The sequence below is a fragment of the Homo sapiens genome, chromosome 8, assembly GCF_000001405.40.
Source record: "Homo sapiens chromosome 8, GRCh38.p14 Primary Assembly".
In the NCBI taxonomy this organism is placed as follows: domain Eukaryota; kingdom Metazoa; phylum Chordata; class Mammalia; order Primates; family Hominidae; genus Homo; species Homo sapiens.
In genome coordinates this window covers 132,630,177-132,650,538 of record NC_000008.11, presented here as the reverse complement: position 1 = coordinate 132,650,538, position 20,362 = coordinate 132,630,177, and the positions used below count along the sequence as shown (strand labels likewise).

The 20,362-nt window shown below is 38.2% G+C and overlaps 1 protein-coding gene across 26 annotated transcripts in view; it reads left to right on the top strand.

Moving 5' to 3' along the window:
- Positions 1–20,362, top strand: part of DNAAF11 (dynein axonemal assembly factor 11) — a 132,498-nt gene that overhangs the window by 52,375 nt on the left and 59,761 nt on the right. For 15 of the 26 annotated variants that reach the window (NR_073525.3, XR_007060728.1, XM_011516950.3 and 12 more), the window contains 2 exons: positions 12,432–12,604; positions 17,576–17,799. Coding sequence is in view for 15 of the 26 variants with exons in the window: in XM_011516950.3 (XP_011515252.1) it covers positions 12,432–12,604; positions 17,576–17,799 (397 nt within the window). In the remaining 11 variants the exon portion in view is untranslated. Of the gene's footprint in view, positions 1–6,852; positions 7,166–12,431; positions 12,605–17,575; positions 17,800–20,362 lie in introns of all 26 variants that reach the window. The other 11 variants (NR_135908.2, NR_135906.2, NR_135907.2 and 8 more) reach the window with 4 other exon arrangements.

Sequence of the window (20,362 nt, the reverse complement as noted above, 5' to 3'; positions counted from 1 at the left end):
TATTTTTTATTTTTATTTTTTATTGTACTTTAAGTTCTAGGGTACATGTGCACAATGTGCAGGTTTGTTACATATGTATACATGTGCCATGTTGGTGTGCTGCACCCATTAACTCATCATTTACATTAGGTATATCTCCTAGTGCTATCCCTCCGCCCTCCCCCCACCTCATGACAGGCCCCAGTGTGTGATGTTCCCCACCCTGTGTCCATGTGTTCTCATTGTTCAATTCCCACCTGTGAGTGAGAACATGCGGTGTTTGGTTTTCTGTCTTTGCAATAGTTTGCTCAGAATGATGGTTTCCAGCTTCATCCATGTCCCTACAAAAGACATGAACTCATCCATTTTTATGGCTGCATAGTATTCCATGGTGTTGATGTGCCACATTTTCTTAATCCAGTCTATCATTGATGGACATTTGGGTTGGTTCCAAGTCTTTGCTGTTGTGAATAGTGCTGCAATAAATATACGTATGCATGTGTCTTTATAGCAGCATGATTTATAATCCTTTGGGTATATACCCAGTAATGGGATGGCTGGGTCAAATGGTATTTCTAGTTCTAGATCCTTGAGGAATCACCACACTGTCTTCCACAATGGTTGAACTAGTTTACAGTCCCACTAACAGTGTAGAAGTGTTCCTATTTCTCCACATCCTCTCCAGCACCTGTTGTTTCTTGATGTTTTAATGATTGCCATTCTAACTGGTTTGAGATGGTATCTCATTGTGGTTTTGATTTGCATTTCTCTGATGGCCAGTGATGATGAGCATTTTTTCATGCGTCTGTTGGCTGCATAAATGTCTTCTTTTGAGAAGTGTCTGTTCATATCCTTCACCCACTTGTTGATGGGGTTATTTGATTTTTTCTTGTGAATTTCTTTAAATTCTTTGTAGATTCTGGATATTATCCCTTTGTCAGATGGGTAGATTGTAAAAATTTTCTCCCATTTTGTAGGTTGCCTGTTCACTCTGATGGTAGTTTCTTTTGCTGTGCAAAAGCTCTTTAGTTTAATTAGATCCCATTTGTCAATTTTGGCTTTTGTTGCCATTGCTTTTGGTGTTTTAGTCATAAAGCCCTTGCCCATGCCTATGTCCTGAATGGTATTGCCTAGGTTTTCTTCTAGGGTTTTTATGGTTTTAGGTCTAACATTTAAGTCTTTAATCCATCTCAAATTAATTTTTGTTAAGGTGTAAGGAAGGGATCCAGTTTCAGCTTTCTACATATGGCTAGCCAGTTTTCCCAGCAGCATTTATTAAACAGGGAATCCTTTCCCCATTTCTTGTTTTTGTCAGGTTTGTCAAAGATCAGATGGTTGTAGATGTGTGGTGTTATTTCTGAGGGCTCTGTTGTGTTCCATTGGTCTATATCTCTGTTTTGGTACCAGTACCATGCTGTTTTGGTTACTGTAGCCTTGTAGTATAGTTTGAAGTCAGGTAGTGTGATGCCTCCAGCTTTGTTCTTTTTGCTTAGGATTGTCTTGGCAATGCGGGCTCTTTTTTGGTTCCATAAAAAAGTTCCATAAAAAAGTAGTTTTTTCCAATTCTGTGAAGAAAGTCATTGGTAGCTTGATGGGGATGGCATTGAATCTATAAATTGCCTTGGGCAGTATGGCCATTTTCACGATATCGACTCTTCCTATCCATGAGCATGGAATGTTCTTCCATTTGTTTATGTCCTCTTTTATTTCGTTGAGCAGTGGTTTGTAGTTCTCCTTGAAGAGGTCCTTCACATCCCTTGTAAGTTGGATTCCTAGGTATTTTATTCTCTTTGAAGCAATTGTGAATGGGAGTTCACTCATGATTTGGCTCTCTGTTTGTCTGTTATTGGTGTATAAGAATGCTTGTGATTTTTGCACATTGATTTTTTATCCTGACACTTTGCTGAAGTTGCTTACCAGCTTAAGGAGATTTTTGGCTGAGACAATGGGGTTTTCTAAATATACAATCATGTCATCTGCACACAGGGACAATTTGACTTCCTCTTTTCCTAATTGAATACCCTTTATTTCTTTCTCCTGCCTGATTGCCCTGGCCAGAACTTCTAACACTATATTGAATAGGAGTGGTGAGAGAGGGCATCCCTGTCTTGTGCCAGTTTTCAAAGGGAATGCTTCCAGTTTTTGCCCATTCAGTATGATATTGGCTGTGCGTGTGTCATAAATAGCTCTTAATATTTTGAGATACGTCTCATCAATACCTAGTTTATTGAGAGTTTTTCGCATGAAGGGCTGTTGAATTTTGTCAAAGGCCTTTTCTGCATCTATTGAGATAATCATGTGGTTTTTGTCTTTGGTTGTGTTTATATGCTGGATTATATTTATCGGTTTGCATATGTTGAACCAGCCTTGCATCCCAGGGATGAAGCCCACTTGATCATGGTAGATAAGCTTTTTGATGTGCTGCTGGATTCGGTTTGCCAGTATTTTATTGAGGATTTTTGCATCGATATTAATCAAGGATATTGGCCTGAAACTCTCTTTTTTTGTTGTGTCTCTGCCAGGCTTTGGTATTAGGATGATTCTGGCCTCATAAAATGAGTTAGGGAGGATTCCCTCTTCTTCTGTTGATTGGAATAGTTTCAGAAGGAATGGTACCAGCTCCTCTTTGTACCTCTGATAGAATTCGGCTGTGAATCCATCTGGTCCTGGACTTTTTTTGGTTTTTAGGCTATTACTGCCTCAATTTCAGAGCCTGTTATTGGTCTATTCAGGGATTCAACTTCTTCCTGGGTTAGTCTTGGGGTGGTGTATATGTCCAGGAATTCATCCATTTCTTCTAGATTTTCTAGTTTATTTGCGTAGAGGTGTTTATAGTATTCTCTGATGGTAGTTTGAATTTCTGTGGGATCGGTGGTGATATCCCCTTTATCATTTTTTATTGCATCTATTTGATTCTTCTCTCTTTTCTTCTGTATTAGTGTTGCTAGTGGTCTATCAATGTTGTTGCTCTTTTCAAAAAACCAGCTCCTGGATTCATTGATTTTTTGAAGGGTTTTTTGTGTTTCTGTCTCCTTCAGTTCTGCTCTGATCTAAGTTATTTCTTGCCTTCTGCTAGCTTTTGAATTTGCTCTTGCTTCTCTAGTTCTTTTAATTGTGACGTTAGGGTGTCAATTTTAGATCTTTCTGCTTTCTCTTGTGGTCATTTAGTGCTGTAAATTTCCCTCTACACACTGCTTTAAATGTGTCCCAGAGATTCTGTTAGGTTGTGTCTTTGTTCTCATTGGTTTCTTTTTTCTCATTGGTTCTCATTGGTTTCTCATCTTTATTTCTGCCTTCATTTCGTTATGTACCCAGTAGTTATTCAGGAGCAGGTTGTTCAGTTTCCATGTAGTTGAGCTGTTTTGAGTGAATTTCTTAATCTTGAGTTCGAGTTTGATTGCACTGTGGCCTGAGAGACAGTTTGTTATAATTTCTGTTCTTTTACATTTGCTGAGGAGTGCTTTACTTCCAACTATGTGGTCAATTTTGGAATAAGGGTGATGTGGTGCTGAGAAGAATGTATATTCTGTCGATTTGGGGTGGAGAGTTGTGTAGATGTCTATTAGGTCCACTTGGTGCAGAGCTGAGTTCAATTCCTGGATATCCTTGTTAACTTTCTGTCTCATTGATCTGTCTAATGTTGACAGTGGGGTGTTAAAGTCTCCCATTATTATTGTGTGGGAGTCTAAGTCTCTTTGTAGGTCTCTAAGGACTTGCTTTATGAGTCTGGGTGCTCCTGTATTGGGTGCATATATATTTAGGATAGTTAGCTCTTCTTGTTGAATTGATCCCTTTACCATTATGTAATGGCCTTCTTTGTCTCTTTTGATCTTTGTTGGTTTAAAGTCTGTTTTATCAGAGACTAGGATTGCAACCCTTGCTTTTTGTTTTGTTTTGTTTTCCATTTGCTTGGTAGATCTTCCTCCATCCCTTTATTTTGAGCCAATGTGTGTCTCTGCACGTGAGATGGGTCTCCTGAATACAGCACACTGATGGGTCTTGACTCTTTATCCAATTTGCCAGTCTGTGTCTTTTAATTGGAGAATTTAGCCTATTTACATTTAAGGCTAATATTGTTGTGTGAGAATTTGATCCTGTCATTATGATGTTAGCTGGTTATTTTGCTTGTTAGTTGACGTAGTTTCTTCCTAGCATTGGTGGTCTTTAAAATTTGGCATGTTTTTGCAGTGGCTGGTACCGGTTGTTCCTTTCCATGTTTAGTGCTTCCTTCAGGAGCTCTTGTAAGGCAGGCCTGGTGGTGACAAAATCTCTCAGCATTTGCTTGTCTGTAAAGGATTTTATTTCTCCTTCACTTATGAAGCTTAGTTTGGCTGGATATGAAATTCTGGGTTGAAAATTCTTTTCTTTAAGAATGTTGAATATTGGCCCCCACTCTCTTCTGGCTTGTAGAGTTTCTACTGAGAGATCTGCTGTTAGTCTGATGGGTTCCCTTTGTGGGTAACCCAACCTTTCTCTCTGGCTGCCCTTAACAATTTTTCCTTCATTTCTACTTTGGTGAATCTGACAATTATGTATCCTGGAGTTGCTCTTCTCAAGGATTATCTTTGTGGCATTCTCTGTATTTCCTGGATTTGAATGTTGTCCTACCTTGCTAGGTTGGGGAAGTTCTCCTGGATAATATCCTGAAAAGTGTTTTCCAACTTGGTTCCATTCTCCCCATTACTTTCAGGTACACCAATCAGATGTAGATTTGGTCTTTTCACATAGTCCCATATTTCTTGGAGGATTTGTTCATTTCTTTTTACTCTTTTTTTTCTAAACTTCTCTTCTCGCTTCATTTCATTCATTTGATCTTCAGTCACTGATACCCCTTCTTCCACTTGATCGGCTACTGAAGCTTGTACATGCATCACTTAGTTCTCATGCCATGATTGTCAGCTCCATCAGGTCATTTAAGGTCTTCTCTACGCTGTTTATTCTAGTTAGCCATTTGTCTATTTTTTTTCAAGGTTTTTAGCTTCTTTGCGATAGGTTCAAACATCCTCCTTTAGCTCAGAGAATTTTGTTATTACCGATCATCTGAAGCCTTCTTCTCTCCACTTTGCCTAAAGTCATTCTCCGTCCAGCTTTGTTCCGTTGCTGGCGAGGAGCTGCGTTCCTTTGGAGGAGAAGAGGCGCTCTGATTTTTAGAATTTTCAGCTTTTCTGCTCTGGTTTCTCCCCATCTTTGTGGTTTTATCTACCTTTGGTCTTTGATGATGGTGACGTACAGATGGGGTTTTGGTGTGGATGTCCTTTCTGTTTGTTAGCTTTCCTTCTAACAGTCAGGACCCTCAGCTGCAGGTCTGTTGGAGTTTGCTGGAGGTCCACTCCAGACCCTGTTTGCCTGGGTATCACCAGCAGAGGCTGCAAAACAGCAAATATTGCAGAACAGCAAATGTTGCTGCCTGATCCTACCTCTGGAAGCTTTGTCTCAGAGGGGCACTTGGCTGTATGAGGTGTCAGTCAGCCCCTACTGGGAGGTGCCTCCCAGTTGGGCTCCCCAGGGGTCAGGGACCCACTTGAGGAGGCAGATTGTCCATTCTCAGATCTCAAACTCCATGCTGGGAGGACCACTACTCTCTTCAAAGCTGTCAGACAGGGACGTTTAAGTCCGCAGAAGTTTCTCCTGTCTTTTGTTCAACTATGCCCTGCCCCCAGAGGTGGAGTCTACAGAGGCAGGCAGGCCTCCTTGAGCTGTGGTGGGCTCCACCCAGTTCGAGCTTCCCGGCTGCTTTGTTTACCTACTCAAGCCTCAGCAATGGTGGACGTCCCTCCCCCAGCCTTGCTGCCGCCTTGCAGTTCGATCTCAGACTGCTGTGCTAGCAGTGAGGGAGGCTCCATGGGCGTGGGACCCTCCAAGTCATGCATGGGATATAATCTCCTGGTGTGCTGTTTGCTAAGACTGTTGGAATAGCACAGTATTAGGGTGGGAGTGTCCCAATTTTCCAGGTACCATTGGTCATGGCTTCCCTTGCCTAGGAAAGGGAATTCCCTGACCCCTTGTGCTTCCTGAGTGAGGTGATGGCCCCCCTTGCTTTGGCTAATCCTCCGTGAGCTGCACCCATTGTCCAACAAGCCCCAGTGAGATGAACCCGGTACCTCAGTTGGAAATGCAGAAATCACCTGTCTTCTGTGTCGCTCATGCTGGGAGCTATAGACTGGAGCTGTTCCTATTTGGCCGTCTTGAAACCTCCTCCTATTGATGTGTTTTAAATGCAACCTTATTGTTTGGTGCTGGAGGTGTTTTTAATTACGTTTGTTATTATGAATATAACTGTTCTGAGCAGATTTGTATGAGTTACCTCTGTTTCCAGTTGAGATATTTGGCTGGGACATTTTTTTCCCCAGATGAAATTCTAGCAATGGAGGAAAGAATAATTTAAAAGCCTATTTTATGTATTGACAGACTGCATGCTGAAAGGTATAACTCTTATGTCACAGGCTTGCTGATATATGTATTTAATATTATCCATGTTTTTATTAATTTAATAGAAATAATTATTTTGTTTCCCCTTTTCATTTATATAATTATTTTTAAAGATGTGAGGTTAATGAATTTCTTTCACCTATATAGTAAAATCTAGAATATATAAAAGCATTTATTTGTTCTTGTAAATTCTGGATATTTATCTGTTACACAATTTATATTTTTAGCATAGTAATATAATAGTTCAAAAGGTCACAGTGCTATACTTATGTCCCTTGTCAATCCCCTCAGACCTCTAAGTCCTACTGCCTAGAGGTAGCTACTCACAATTCCCTTTGCTTCTTCTATTACAAGTGTCTAACGAATGCACTCAATATTATGCTTGTCTCCAAGTATTGCACTTACATCATGCTTATCTGCTGTTTCTTGATATTCCTATTTTAGATGTCATCTATTGACTTCCTGATGTGGACGATGCAGATTTTGTTCTCTCACACCATCTGCAAGGTTCTCAATTTTCTCCTACCCACCCTCCGTGTATTTTCATATGACATTGACAGGATATCATAATGAAATATGGCATACGGACCCATTTACGGGGACTGGTCTTTTGAATTAACTGTGTTGGGAGAGGATATTACACTTGCTCCCCAACTCTCCCACATCTAATCTCTGGCCTTTCTTATCCTACCTGCCTCCTCCTGCCTTCTTCCAAGCTGGTCTCTCCATCTCCACCTGTGTCATGAATTCCAGGCAGGTCAGTCCTGGGCTACACCTCTGCTGGGTGGTGACAACTACTTTTACTTACAGACTTAAGTATGTGTTCCACAGAATTGTAGCATGAGAATTTTAAGGTGAAGATGATGATGATATTTTAATAATAAATGGCTAACACTGGCAAAGAGACTCTCTAGCACAGGGGTCCCCAAACCCTGGGTAGAGAACCGATACCTCTGGCCTGTTAGGAACCGGCTGACAGCAGGAGGTGAGCAGTGGGCCAAGAGGGTTTTAGTGCCTGAGCTCCGCCTCCTGTCCAAACAGCTGCTGCTTTAGATCCTCATAGGAGCGGAGCCCTATTGTGAACTGATCTTGCGAGGGATGTAGGTTGCGTGCTCGTATGAGAACTAATGCCTGATGATCTGAGGTGAAACAGTTTCATCCTGAAACCATCCCACCCCACCGTCCGTGGAAAAATGGTCTTCCATGAAACCAGTCCCTGGTGCCAAAAATGTTGGAGACCGCTGCTCTAACATATCCGTTCAGAGAATCTTCAGGTGGGCCAACCTGGGTCCAAATCCCAACTCATCCATTTAGGAGCTGTGTAAACTTTGGTAATTCCTTAGCTCATTTGCGTTGCAGTTGCAAGTATCTGTTGCCAGATAGATTCCGGAAGCAGCCATTGCTAGAGGATCCACCTCCAAGATGGTTGCTTCAGTTACCATCTGGAGCTGCTTCTGGGCGTGTTTCTTTCCACAGAAGCAGATTTTGTTCTCTCTCACTGCCTTTACGATTCTCCAGGTGGCTTAGGGTCTCTGAGCGTGGTGGAGTCAAGGTAGCCAGACACTTGATCTGGCTTCTGACATGTCCCAGAGCAATTATTTGCAGGGCAATCCTTCCAGTGTGAGCATTTCAGACATCTAGGCAGCCCCAGAGCTTCACTGGTTCCACAGTCTGTTGGTCAGGCAAGTTCCTGGGGCCAGCCCCAATGCAGAGAGAAGGAGAAGGATTCGATGCCATCTCTCCATGAGAAATAGCATGAGTGCACATGATGGGCATCTCAGAGCCAAGTGCCCACACTGAGCTATCTGACCTTCAAATAAAGATAGTAATTGTGATATTTCTCTCATAAGCATGATGTTAGGATTGAATAAAATAATGTGTATGGAAGAGCTGAATATAGTAAACAGCAAATAAATATTAGCCATGTAGTTAATAAGCATATTATATACCTGGAGCATACTTACAACATTTGAGAAAATTATGCTAACTTATATCTTAGTTTTCTATGAGTTTCATGTATTTTCTGTATTTATATACTTTAAAAAATTCTCAACTCTAACCATGTTGCAAAATTTTGAAAAATAGAATGATGTTTAATCTTAATTCCACCATTGCTATTATCATTTTGCTATATTTATTTTTTCTGTCTTTTACATTGTTGTAATTTTAGCACATGGGTGATGTTATATCTTACTTTTTCCATTTTCATTATATCATAAGCTCTCCTCCTCCATGCTGTGATCGTTTTCATAACCATCATTTTAAATGTCCTTATAACATTAAACATTGAATAGATGTATTAGAGTTTGCTTAACCATTTTTCTACATTGAGTCTCTTCCTACATGTGCTTATTTATTTTATATCATGTAATTATACTTACTAGAATTTAATGTCCAACTATAATAGTCACCTATACTCAGTCTTGTCAATTCCATTTTTTCCCTCAGTTGCTCAATTATCTTTAAAGTTGTCTGTCCTTTAGTTTTCACCTGAGCCAACTAACTAATCTACCTGTTGACTTATCTGCTGCACTTACCCATTTTCCTTCTTTGTCTTTCTCCCTCATTCTTTCTTTTCTCCTTCCCTCTCTTCCTCCTCCCATCTCTTCATTTCTTCTACAAGTATTTCTTGACCTTCTATCTCACGCCAAGGAATCTTTTATGTGTGGGAGATAAAGTAATTAACAAGCCAATCTTCCCCTCTTCATGGAGCTTAAGTTCTAATGGGGAAGACAGGTCATAAACACTCAAACAAAAAAAGAAGAACATCAAGTATGACAAAGGATGTACACAAAATTAAAATGAAACAATACGTATGTTAGAGAGTATCTGATGACCATAAAAGGAACCAAAGAAAAGACAATGTCTACCAGGTTTCTCTACTGTAACATTACTATATTTCACTTTTAACTAATGAGTAATTTGTGGGAAGATACTTGAACATTATGTAAATATCCTATTCCTCATCATACTTCCATGCACTGGTTTTAACATTCTAATGACTTGTTTTCATTCCATCATTCCTTTTATATTTATTAGATGACATTCTACTTTAAGAAAAAACTTTGCCTTCTCCCCCAATTTATTTGTATTTCTTATATTGGCATGAACTCATGGATTCTTGTTTTATTCAATGAACAATGTTACCACTATTATTTAGTTTAATGATCAAAGTGTCCCAGGTTTGGCTACAGAAACCCTTCCAAGTAGACTCTTCTGATGTTTTAAAATGTTCTTATCTTTCTTTGAGTACTTTCTTGCTTAGTGGTACATCAAGACGTTCCAGACTCCTCTTTTCTTTTCCTACTTTTATCTATTCTTTCCTTCTTTCAAACTGTTTATATTCTTGGATATAATCAGTTTATAAGGAGATTATTAATGTATTTTGTTGCAAAAGGTGATAAGAACCTGGGGTATGGATAATAGGATTATAGTAGACAGGAAATATATGATAAAATTTAGGAGTTAAGGTCTCTGGGGCTTGGTTAATGACATGAAGAAGTTAAGAGAGTAATTTAACTTTTAAATTTATGACTTGACCCTTAGATGTATCAAATTCATGTCTAAAACCAAAATAATGATGGTATTAAAAGAGTTTAGACATAAACAAGGCAGAGAAGCTGTGTTGAGGAATGGAGAATAAGAGGAAATAGGGAGAATTCCATTTTGAACATGTTGAATGTAATATGTCTTGCAGACATTTGGAAATAGGAGTACGAGATTCAGATAGTGGGTTATCATTTGGAAATCATCAGAATCTGGGGTTAGTTAAACCAATAACCATGACTGTTGTCATCAAGAAGATGATGACAGAAAATACTGGGCCAAGGGTGGAACTCTGGGATATATCACCATTGAAGGTATAGAGAAGTTTATAAAAGAGATGAAGAGGAACAGACTACAGTATAAGGAGAACAAGGAGAGAGTAGTATCGCTGTTACCAAGATGGCTGAGAATTTTAAGAGATAATTCATGATAAATTGTGCCATATGCAGCAGATTGTTCTAGTGAAAAGTGGGTTGAAGAAGGTCTATTAGACTTGCTAATATCATGGTTTTTGGTAACCTTTAGAGAAGCAAATCTTGTAGAATGCCAGAAACAATGGCTTGAATGAATATAGGTTTAGGGTAGCTTACAATGTCTAATGGGCATTGCCTACTTCTGGATTCTGTGTTTGCACATTTAATTTTCTTTTCCTTGTATTTTTTTCTCGTTTTATCTTTTCTCTATGTTAGACATAAATGTGAACTCAGGGACCATGATTTTTTTTTTTTATCAGTTTATCCTAAAGAGCTTGCTCAGCAACATCTATGTTAGCAGGCAACCTGTAACTCCTATATGGGTGGATGAATGGATGGGTGGATATAGAGAGGTGCTATATCTGGAAGTTCTAAGATAGAGGTAACTTATTTGGAGGAGATTGGCTTGGGATCTGACTTAATAAGAGGAAAACGTGGAATTCTGGACAAGATTGAGTCAGGTGATAGGATCTAGGAACACGGAGAGAACACCATCATTTAGTGAAGTTGGTTCCATTATATAGCCTTCAGAATTGAGGAAACCTCACCAAAGGTGATACAGTTGCATAGCTATGAACCAATCTGAATCAAATTCATATTGGTGACGTTAATCTATCAGGAACCAAAATTCACTCTAAATTTATATAGCCACAGAAAAATTACAAAAAAGTATATAATAAGAAATGATAATGGAAGGGTGTGTAGAACTTTGAAGACATAAATGCAGAACAAGGTGGACCTGGGGTATTAGCTGGGGAAGGCTTTCTAGACATTGGAGGTTGCAAAATCTGCCATGTTAATCCCACAGGCATGAGGCAGTCATAGGGAGAGATAATCTTATATTGAACCAAGCCCCCAAAGGCTGCTGCATAAACTAGGTCAACTCTTCTTAGCTCATAGAAAGAAACTGCAAGGTTTCTGCTCATGAGACAGCTGTGCTTGCTTCTTTCCACATAGGTACATTGTCCGAGAAGTCATATGGTAATTAGAGTGCTCATTGAGCTATTCTAATCATAGCTCATGTTTACTGACACTCTAGGTGGCAAGCATTATGCTAAGCGCTTTACATGAGTCATCGTATATTATCTTCGCAACTTCTGACTCTGGTACCAATACTATTATAATTCTATAGATGAGCAGGCTGAAGCTTGTAACTTACCCAAGGTCACATTAGCAAGGATGAGGTAGAGGAAGCACTTGAACTTGTATCTGTCTAATTCCCAAGTCTGGACTCCTAGCCTCCAAATTTGCATGGAATGTGAATGAGGGGATTAATTCAAATTCAAATTTAGATTCCATTCAAGTTTCTATAGCATCTGGCTATCTCTGTAATGAAGGTGGATGGGTCAGATTTACTATAAAACCCTACTTCAGTGACTCACCCTTTTTCTATTATTCCTTTGAACATCAAAACGTCTTATTCTTCACTTTTGTTAATACCTTCAGTTCAGTTCTTGGTGGCCTTAGAGCCATTCTCTCTCTGCTAGGTGACTTTGCAAATATTGGTTTGGATGCGCTGGTTTTATGAAATGCCTTTCTTTTTGGAGAATCTTTCCACTATCACCCTCCAAGATGAAATATGTCCCACCTACCTGCTAAAACTCAAGAGGACAGGTTCCAGGTGCCCTCTGTAGTAGGAGTTTTGTTCTGAGGTAGCATCCACTGGAAAAGTATAGTAGCAGCTTTTACTTTTCCTTTTTTCATGCCAGATAGTGACCAAATCAGAAAAATTAACCAGCCTTGTAAGTGTGAGCAGGGAAAGTGATTTCCCCTGGCTGGAAGGACTCAGACGGTGAAAATAAGGAGAGACAGAGATAGAAAAATGAGTTAAGATGAAGCCTTTGAGTTGATATTTCTGAAGAATCACTTCATGGTGAGCAATGCAATAAATCAGCAGACTGAAAATACTACAACTGTTACTTCTGTTATGTGATGTTACACACGTTTTGTTACCAGTGTGATTTTTCTTTGTTTGCTTTGTTTTCACTTTATTTTTCTCAACAGGATGTGAAGAGCTGGCAAAACTTGACCTGACTGTGAATTTCATTGGAGAGCTGAGCAGCATTAAAAACTTGCAGCACAATATCCATCTGAAGGAGCTCTTTCTCATGGGGAACCCATGTGCTTCCTTTGACCACTATAGGGAGTTCGTGGTAGCAACTCTTCCACAATTAAAGGTATGGTTCTTTTAATGGTGCAGAAATCACAGATAAATGAGCATGAGCAACTACAATAATTCCTGCTTTACTGGCAGCAACAGTGAATGTGTTGCTTCAGATAATGGAATATTCCAGAGAGCCCAAAGTAATTATTTGAATGGCTAGACCTTTAATATTGTTTGAATAGTTTTAATAAATCCCTGAAAAATAAATTGCATACTTTTCACCTTTCTCATCCAAAACACACAGAACTTAATTTGACTTTTTCTCAATGAGTTCAAATCATAGTTACGAAGAACATTCATCATTACTGATAAGAATTCATTATTACTTGTTTTTTTTTTTTTTGAGATGGAGTCTCACTCTGTCACCCAGGCTGGAGTGCAGTGGCACGATCTCGGCTCACTGCAAACTCTGCCTACCAGGTTCAAGTGATTGTCCTGCCTCAGCTTCCCAAGTAGCTGGGATTACAGGCATGTGCCACCATGTCTGCCTACTTTTGTATTTTTAGTAGAGATGTGGTTTCACCATGTTGGCCAGGCTGGTCTTGAACTCCTGACCTCAGGTGATCCACCTGCCTCGGCCTCCCAAAGTGCTGGGATTACAGGCATGAGCCACCGTGCCCGGCAGGTTCACAGTCTTTGGTGTGCATCAGAGCACGTGGAGGCCTTTTCAAAACACAGACTGCTGTGCTCCTCCCCCAGGGTTTCTGGGTCAGGTCTGACATGGGGCCTGAGATTTCACATTTCTAACAAAATCTGGTAATTCTGCTGCTGGTGCAGGAACCTCATTTGACAACCACTACTGCGTATGTTACTCTTATACCATATCCCCCCAATCGAGTAATTTTAGAACTGAGGAAAAAATATTATTTCTTGAGAAATCATACAACAGAGAATATTAAGATAGCAATGTTACGTTTCATGTAATTCTAAGAGTTCCCAGCCTGCATGTGGCTCCATGTTCCTGGAAAGAGAATGCATGGATACATCGCCTGTTCAATAGGCATTTTTTCAGTTCTCAAAGGACGTTTGTTTCTTAGACTTCTGTGTTCTCTGCAGTCAAGAGACTGCTGACTGCTGGATTAATGGAACACATTTCTTCTAATGTAAAATTTCTCAGATTAAGAGAATGAGTGATTCAAGTAATTGAATATAGAATAAATGATAAATTGTCTCATACATAACCTAAACTGATCATTATTATACAGTGATTTCCTAGAAAATGAACTGATGAGACCCAGACTATCATAGGACTAGATCTTGTAGTGTAATGCTGTGAGCCGTTCCCTTGGAAGGGCTAAGGGTCCAGGAGTCCTCATGGCCACCGCAGCTGAGCCTGTGTCAGTGCTGCAGCTGAGCCTGGTCAGGCTAGAGGTGTGAGAGCCATCATATGGCTGCTGCAGACAGGGTCAGAGGTTGTGCCAGGTACTTTGGGCACAGTGTTTTTGATCCTCCCAGACCCATTCAGGGAGACAATTAGGTACATTCAGAGATGAGGAAGTCAGGGCTCAGGGAATGAACACTGCTTGTTTAGGCTGACATATCTGGCAAGTGACACAGGTGGGATCTGAACCTATGTGAGTCGGACCTTGATGCCTCCACCATTCACACTATACCCACATTCACTGCTTCTCTCCGGGTTAAATTATAGGCTTTGGATCAAGTCTTTCCTTTCAGAAAGACTTCTCCAAATTAACTGCTTCAATAGAAAACAGCCCCTTTTTGAAAAATGGTATTCATATGTTTACTACTATGTAAAAATAGGTTGATATGCTTTAGAGTCTTAATTACCATTTCATTGAAAGCTTGTGAGCTGCTTAAAAGGAATTGTGTTAATAAATGTATTATTTTCCTAGGGCTGCTGTAACAAAGTACTGCAAACTAGATGGCTTAGACAACAGAAATGTATCATCTTGTAGTTCTGAAGGCCAGACGTTCAAGTTCAAGATGTTGACGGGACTGGTTCCTTCCAGGGGCTGCGAGGGAGAATCTGCTTCATGCCCTCCCTCCTAGCTTCTGCTGATTTGCTGGCCAATCTTTGGCATTCTTGAGCTTGTAGACACATTACCCTGAGGGTCTCTGCCTTCCTCTTCACAAGACTCTTTATAAAGACACCAGTCATATTGGCTTGGGGCCCACCTGCTCCAGGATAATTTAGTCTCAGTGAATTATATCCATAGTGACCCTGTTTCCAGAAAGTCCCTGATTTGAGCTACTGGGGGTTAGGACTTCAACATCTTTTTTTGTCAGGGGACATCTATAATAACCCTATTTCCCAAAAGTCCATGATTTGAGCTACTGGGGATTAGGACTTCAACATCTTTTTTTGTCAATTCAACCCAAAACAACAGAGTAGTTATTTTAGATAGTCACATAGAAGAGGTGTGAGGAGAGTCAGCCCTTTTCAAGGTTTTTCTTCCCAGTGTCTGAGCCACTCCAGAAGTAGGTGGGCCCTGCAGTATAGTGGGAAACAGATTTGTTAGCAGACAAACCAAGGTCTGACCCCTGCTTCCACTGCCTGTGAATTGTGTGCCTCATTTTACTCATGTATAGTAGGATCATAATTCCTACTTCAAGGGAGTTCTGTGAGGCCTTCAGTACATCTTAGTGTCCCTCTCTCTGCTTCAGCACTTGCACAGTTATTATCAATAAGTGTGGACACTCCACCTTTGTGCTGCAGGAATCCTGGGTGAAGAAAGATCAAGAAACGCTCAGCTTAAAACTGGATCTCTGATTCTTAGGCCTTCTAAACTCAGACATGATTTTGGATTGAAGGAAATGTGGGCCAATTTCAAAGACTAACAGAAATCACTAAAAAAGTGAGGTTCCTAGAATAGGTGCTGGGGTACAGTCCCAAATTTGTCATCAGTTATTAATATGAGGTCTTTTGCCTCCTGTCAGTAAAGTGACAGAGGGTTCAGTTGTCATAGCCTTTTAGGAATGTAGTTCTAATTAAATCAAAATAGACTTACATCATTTATAAGACAGAAATCAATCAATCAATCAATCAATTAATGTACTTCAATTACAAGGAAGAAAAGATCACCTTGCTCCCCAGGGTTCTGTTGGGAAGAAATCCTAGTTGAAAGAAATTATCTAGAGTTTTCTAGCTTGTTATAATATACAGTTATATATAATGTATTTATGTTAATATATATTTATATATAAATTATACTATATAAATTAATATAACAAAGTGCCACAAACTGGATGACTTAACAGAAATTTATGAAAGTGCTTTATTTATATAGTATTAGTTATATATAAATATATTTACTTTTATGTTGATTCATATATTTATATCAGTGTATTTACTTATATATACTTACAAAATAAGTAAATTTCATTTATCCAAAAATTTCCAAATTGATTTGATCCCAATCCTGTATTAAATTAGATCAAATTAAGTATGTGGACCACAATTACTTAATGCCTTAAATAATAGGTTTTATTGCATTGAATTTATCATTATGGTCTCATAAGTAATGGTATGAAGATACCTTTATTGAAGGATACTACAAGAAACAGCCTTATGAAACCTGTGACTGTATGGCCATATTTCTACAGAAACAATGCTTGACATCTCTCAATATCTCCATTATGAAACTCTGTGCTAGAAATGTGTTTTAGAGCTGCATGTTAGAGGAAAGCTACAAACTTTATTTTTTCCTTAAAGACCATGAAAATTGTGTAACTAGTTATGTTTTTCTATTTCGCTTTGGCTGCCAAGAAGCTCAGAACCAAATCTGCAGCCCATCTATAGCAACCATATGAGTCCTTATGACCAGAGCATATGTGGCATTATCTTTTTTCCAAATCTCTACATAATTTTGACTTATAATTCAGCTGATTCTAATAATTTTTTAATTTATATTTGACTAAATCTTTGTGTGTATTTTTTTTTCCTTTTTTATGTTTCTTATTGCTGCTGTAACAAATTGAGACAAACTTAGTGACTTAAAACAATGCAAATGTATCACCTTATGATTCTGGAGATCAAAAGCCTGAAATGGTTTCACTGGGCTAAAATGAAGGTGTTGGCAGGGTTATTCTTTCTTCAGGCTCTAGGAGAGAATCCCTTACTTTGCCCCTTTCAGCTTCTAGAGGATACCTGCATTTTTAGGCTCATGGCCTCTTCCTCCATCTCCAAAGACATCAGTGTGCCAACTTTACCTCTCTCCCTAACTCTGACACTCATGTCTTTCTCTTTTACTTATAAGGACCTCTGTGGTCCTTATAAGAATCATCCTGATCATTCAAGATCCTTAACCTAATCACACCTGTAAAGCCCCTTTTGCCATGTAAGGTAACATTCATGGAGATTAGAACATGGACATTCTTGGGGAACCATTATCTTCCAACCACCCCTTCCTAAATACCTCACCTCATTTTGCAGAATAAGGCAGGGTAGATAAATAGGTATCTTTAAACTGTTAGCTTTAACATTTTAGAACTTTAGTTGATGCTTTTATTTTAATATTTTACTTTGGAAAATCATAATTGAAGTATCAGATGTAAACAATGCTGTAACAATAGCCTATCTGTTTGTCTTGTTGTTAAGGGTGAAACATGGGCTCATTTGTATTAGAGCCCAATCATGTGTAATATTCAAGGCCTTTTTTTTCTGTAGAGAGCTTTTGGGAAGTGCCATTGTTGTACTTTGAAGCTATGATTTGACTTAAGCATTGACATTTTTGACATAGTGAGCAATTATAAAATTAATAGAAAATATTTTGAGAGCTTGTATTAATTATCAGTTTTAACAGACCTAATTATTATTATTACTAGTAAAGGTATTTTTTAAACTGTGTAAATTATATGAAATATACATTAATTTAGAACAATGTTCTGATATTTCCCATTAATTATATTGTTTTAATTCTCTATCACTATCGGGTATATTATTATTTCTAATCAAAATCAACCTGGGGCTGATTCACACTGCTACTTTTGAACAATTGTACTATATTTATTGTTTTTCTTTAAGTGGTTGGATGGTAAAGAAATAGAGCCTTCAGAAAGGATTAAGGCATTGCAGGACTATTCAGTAATTGAACCACAAATCAGAGAGCAGGAAAAAGATCACTGTCTTAAACGAGCCAAACTCAAGGAAGAGGCTCAGAGGAAACACCAAGAAGAGGATAAAAATGAAGACAAGAGAAGTAACGCAGGCTTTGATGGACGTTGGTACACAGACATCAATGCTACTCTGTATGTAAATTATTAGTTTACTTTCTAGTTAACTTTTGTTAAAAGCAGCAAACTGTATTCTCTTTCCAAGTTGTTTGCAGTACACTTATATTCCAGATTAATTTGAAGAATGAAATATGATGTGAATTTTGGATGGAAGAATATGAGCATCCCATTGCTTGTGACAATTCTGTAAGGCTTTCTTTCCTTGGGGGAAAAATTCCTTTTTAAACTAGCAACTTTAATTTGCATCTAAAATTATTCTCAGAGAAATCCGTAAAATGTGTACAGAAAAGATGAATTAACAGGTGTACTTTGATTTACGAACTAGGAATATTTTAGAAAAGTTAAATACAAATCACATTATAATTTGAATAATTCTAATTGCATCATAAAACATTCTATTTTCTGAATTGGAATAGATTTCAGAAAAATACTGAATACATTTTTAATGTGATTAATAACTCTCTAATTGGTTTTTTAAAAATTAAATTTTTCATGTTTGTTTATTTTAAGTGAATTGCAACTATAGTCAGTTGATTTGATTCCATACAGTGAAAGTATTAAGTATTTAGATAACAGAATCCCTTAAAATTGAGAAAATAATAATTATAAAATATTGCAGACATACATAAATGTTTGAAAATAGTTATATAGGCAGCTTGTAGTTCTACCACCTAGATTTAATAAATGACAATAGTTTGTATGTTTGCTTTGGATCTTTTTTTTTTTTACTTTTTTTTAAATTATACTTTAAGTTTTAGAGTACATGTGCACAACGTGCAGGTTTGTTACATATGTATACATGTGCCATGTTGGTGTGCTGCACCCATTAATTCTTCATTTAACATTAGGTATATCTCCTAATGCTATCCCTCCCCACTCCCCCAACCCCACAACAGGCCCCGGTGTGTGATGTTCCCCTTCCTGTGTCCATGTGTTCTCATTGTTCAATTCCCACCTATGAGTGAGAACATGCGGTGTTTGGTTTTTTGTCCTTGCAATAGTTTGCTGAGAATGATGGATCTTTTTTTAAATAAGAAATAAAATATCATTAAGAGAGCAGACACTCCTTAAAGACTTCCCCTTCATCCCATGCCTCTCTTCATCCCAGTGGCGTCTGCTATCCTGAAGCTGGTGCGTGTTTGATATATGTTGATCCCATCCATATTTTTAATACCCTTATTTCACAAGTATGCCTCCTTAAACAATAGTAGTTTGAGTATGTGTGTTTAGCATGAATGATACCTTTCTATAGCTTTGCTTTTCATGCAACATTATGTTTTTGAGATTTACGCACATGAAGACATGCAAAACTAATTCATTGTAAGTATAGAATAATATCCTGTTGGATGAATAAATTACAATTTATCCCAGAGGTAATATTCAAAGTAGTTAATGACCAGTGTTTCATTTGCCCTGACCCATCAGAATGTGCAGCGGCTCTAACAACACATGTGGTCTTCCTAGTGGTGCCAGCTGGTCAGCCTGGACACAGCCATCCCTCTTTGGATGGCCATGCACGTTGTTTTCCCTATTCCCATTTCCTATTCTCACAGGAATAGAATCTCCTGAAAGTAGCATCATGGTCTCTCTTTGCCAGGGCTGTATCTCTGGTGCCTGGCACAACAGAAGATGCCCAATAAATATTTATTGAATCCATGTTGAACATTTGTTGAGATATTCAAGCAATGTTGCCCTTGTCTCCTTGTTCAGGTATGAAAGTTTCTCCAGGGTATTTAGCAATGGCATTGCTACAATTATGACATCTTTTCAACTTTTTACATATTGCCAAATTGTTTTCTAGAGTAGTTGTGATAATTTATACTCATATATCAACAATATACAAGAGTTTTCAGTCTTTGCCAATACTGGATAATATGATATTTAAAAATATTGGCCAATCAAGTGTGTTGTGTAGTATATAGTATCCTCTATTTTTAAAAAAATTAATTTGCATTTCTGTAGTTACTAGTGAATTTGAATATTTTAAATATCTTTTATATGTTTATTGGTTATTCAGGTATCCTCTATTCAAGTCCCCTACTTATTTTAAATAAGTAGTTAAGTTTTTTTCTTATTGAGAGTTCTTTTAGATTCTGGATACAAATAAAAAAATACATTCTTTGGTGGTTATGTGCTTTACAAGTGTCTTCTACCAGTCTGTGACTTGTCTTTAATTATAAGTGCTTATGTTTTATGAAGTTTAAAAATATTAATGTAGTTAAACTTATTTGTACATTTTTGTCTTGTTTATGGAATTCTTCTTTATCCCAGTGCCATATCTGTTTGTATCTTTTCATCTGGAATTAACCTTTGCCAATGTATAGGGTAGGGTACTAATTGTTTTTCATATGGGTAGCTAATTGTCTGCACCATTGATTAAGGTGCTATTCTTTTCCCACTGATCTGAAATGCTACCCTTACTATATCCCTTCTAACCATGTATTCATGGGTTCATCTCTGAGCTCTCTAGACTGTTCCATAGGAGTACATCTGCCTGGTTTTAATTTGTATAGATTTATAGCATATCTTGATATTTGGTAGGAGATATTCTCATTTTTCAAAGTTATCTTGGCTATTT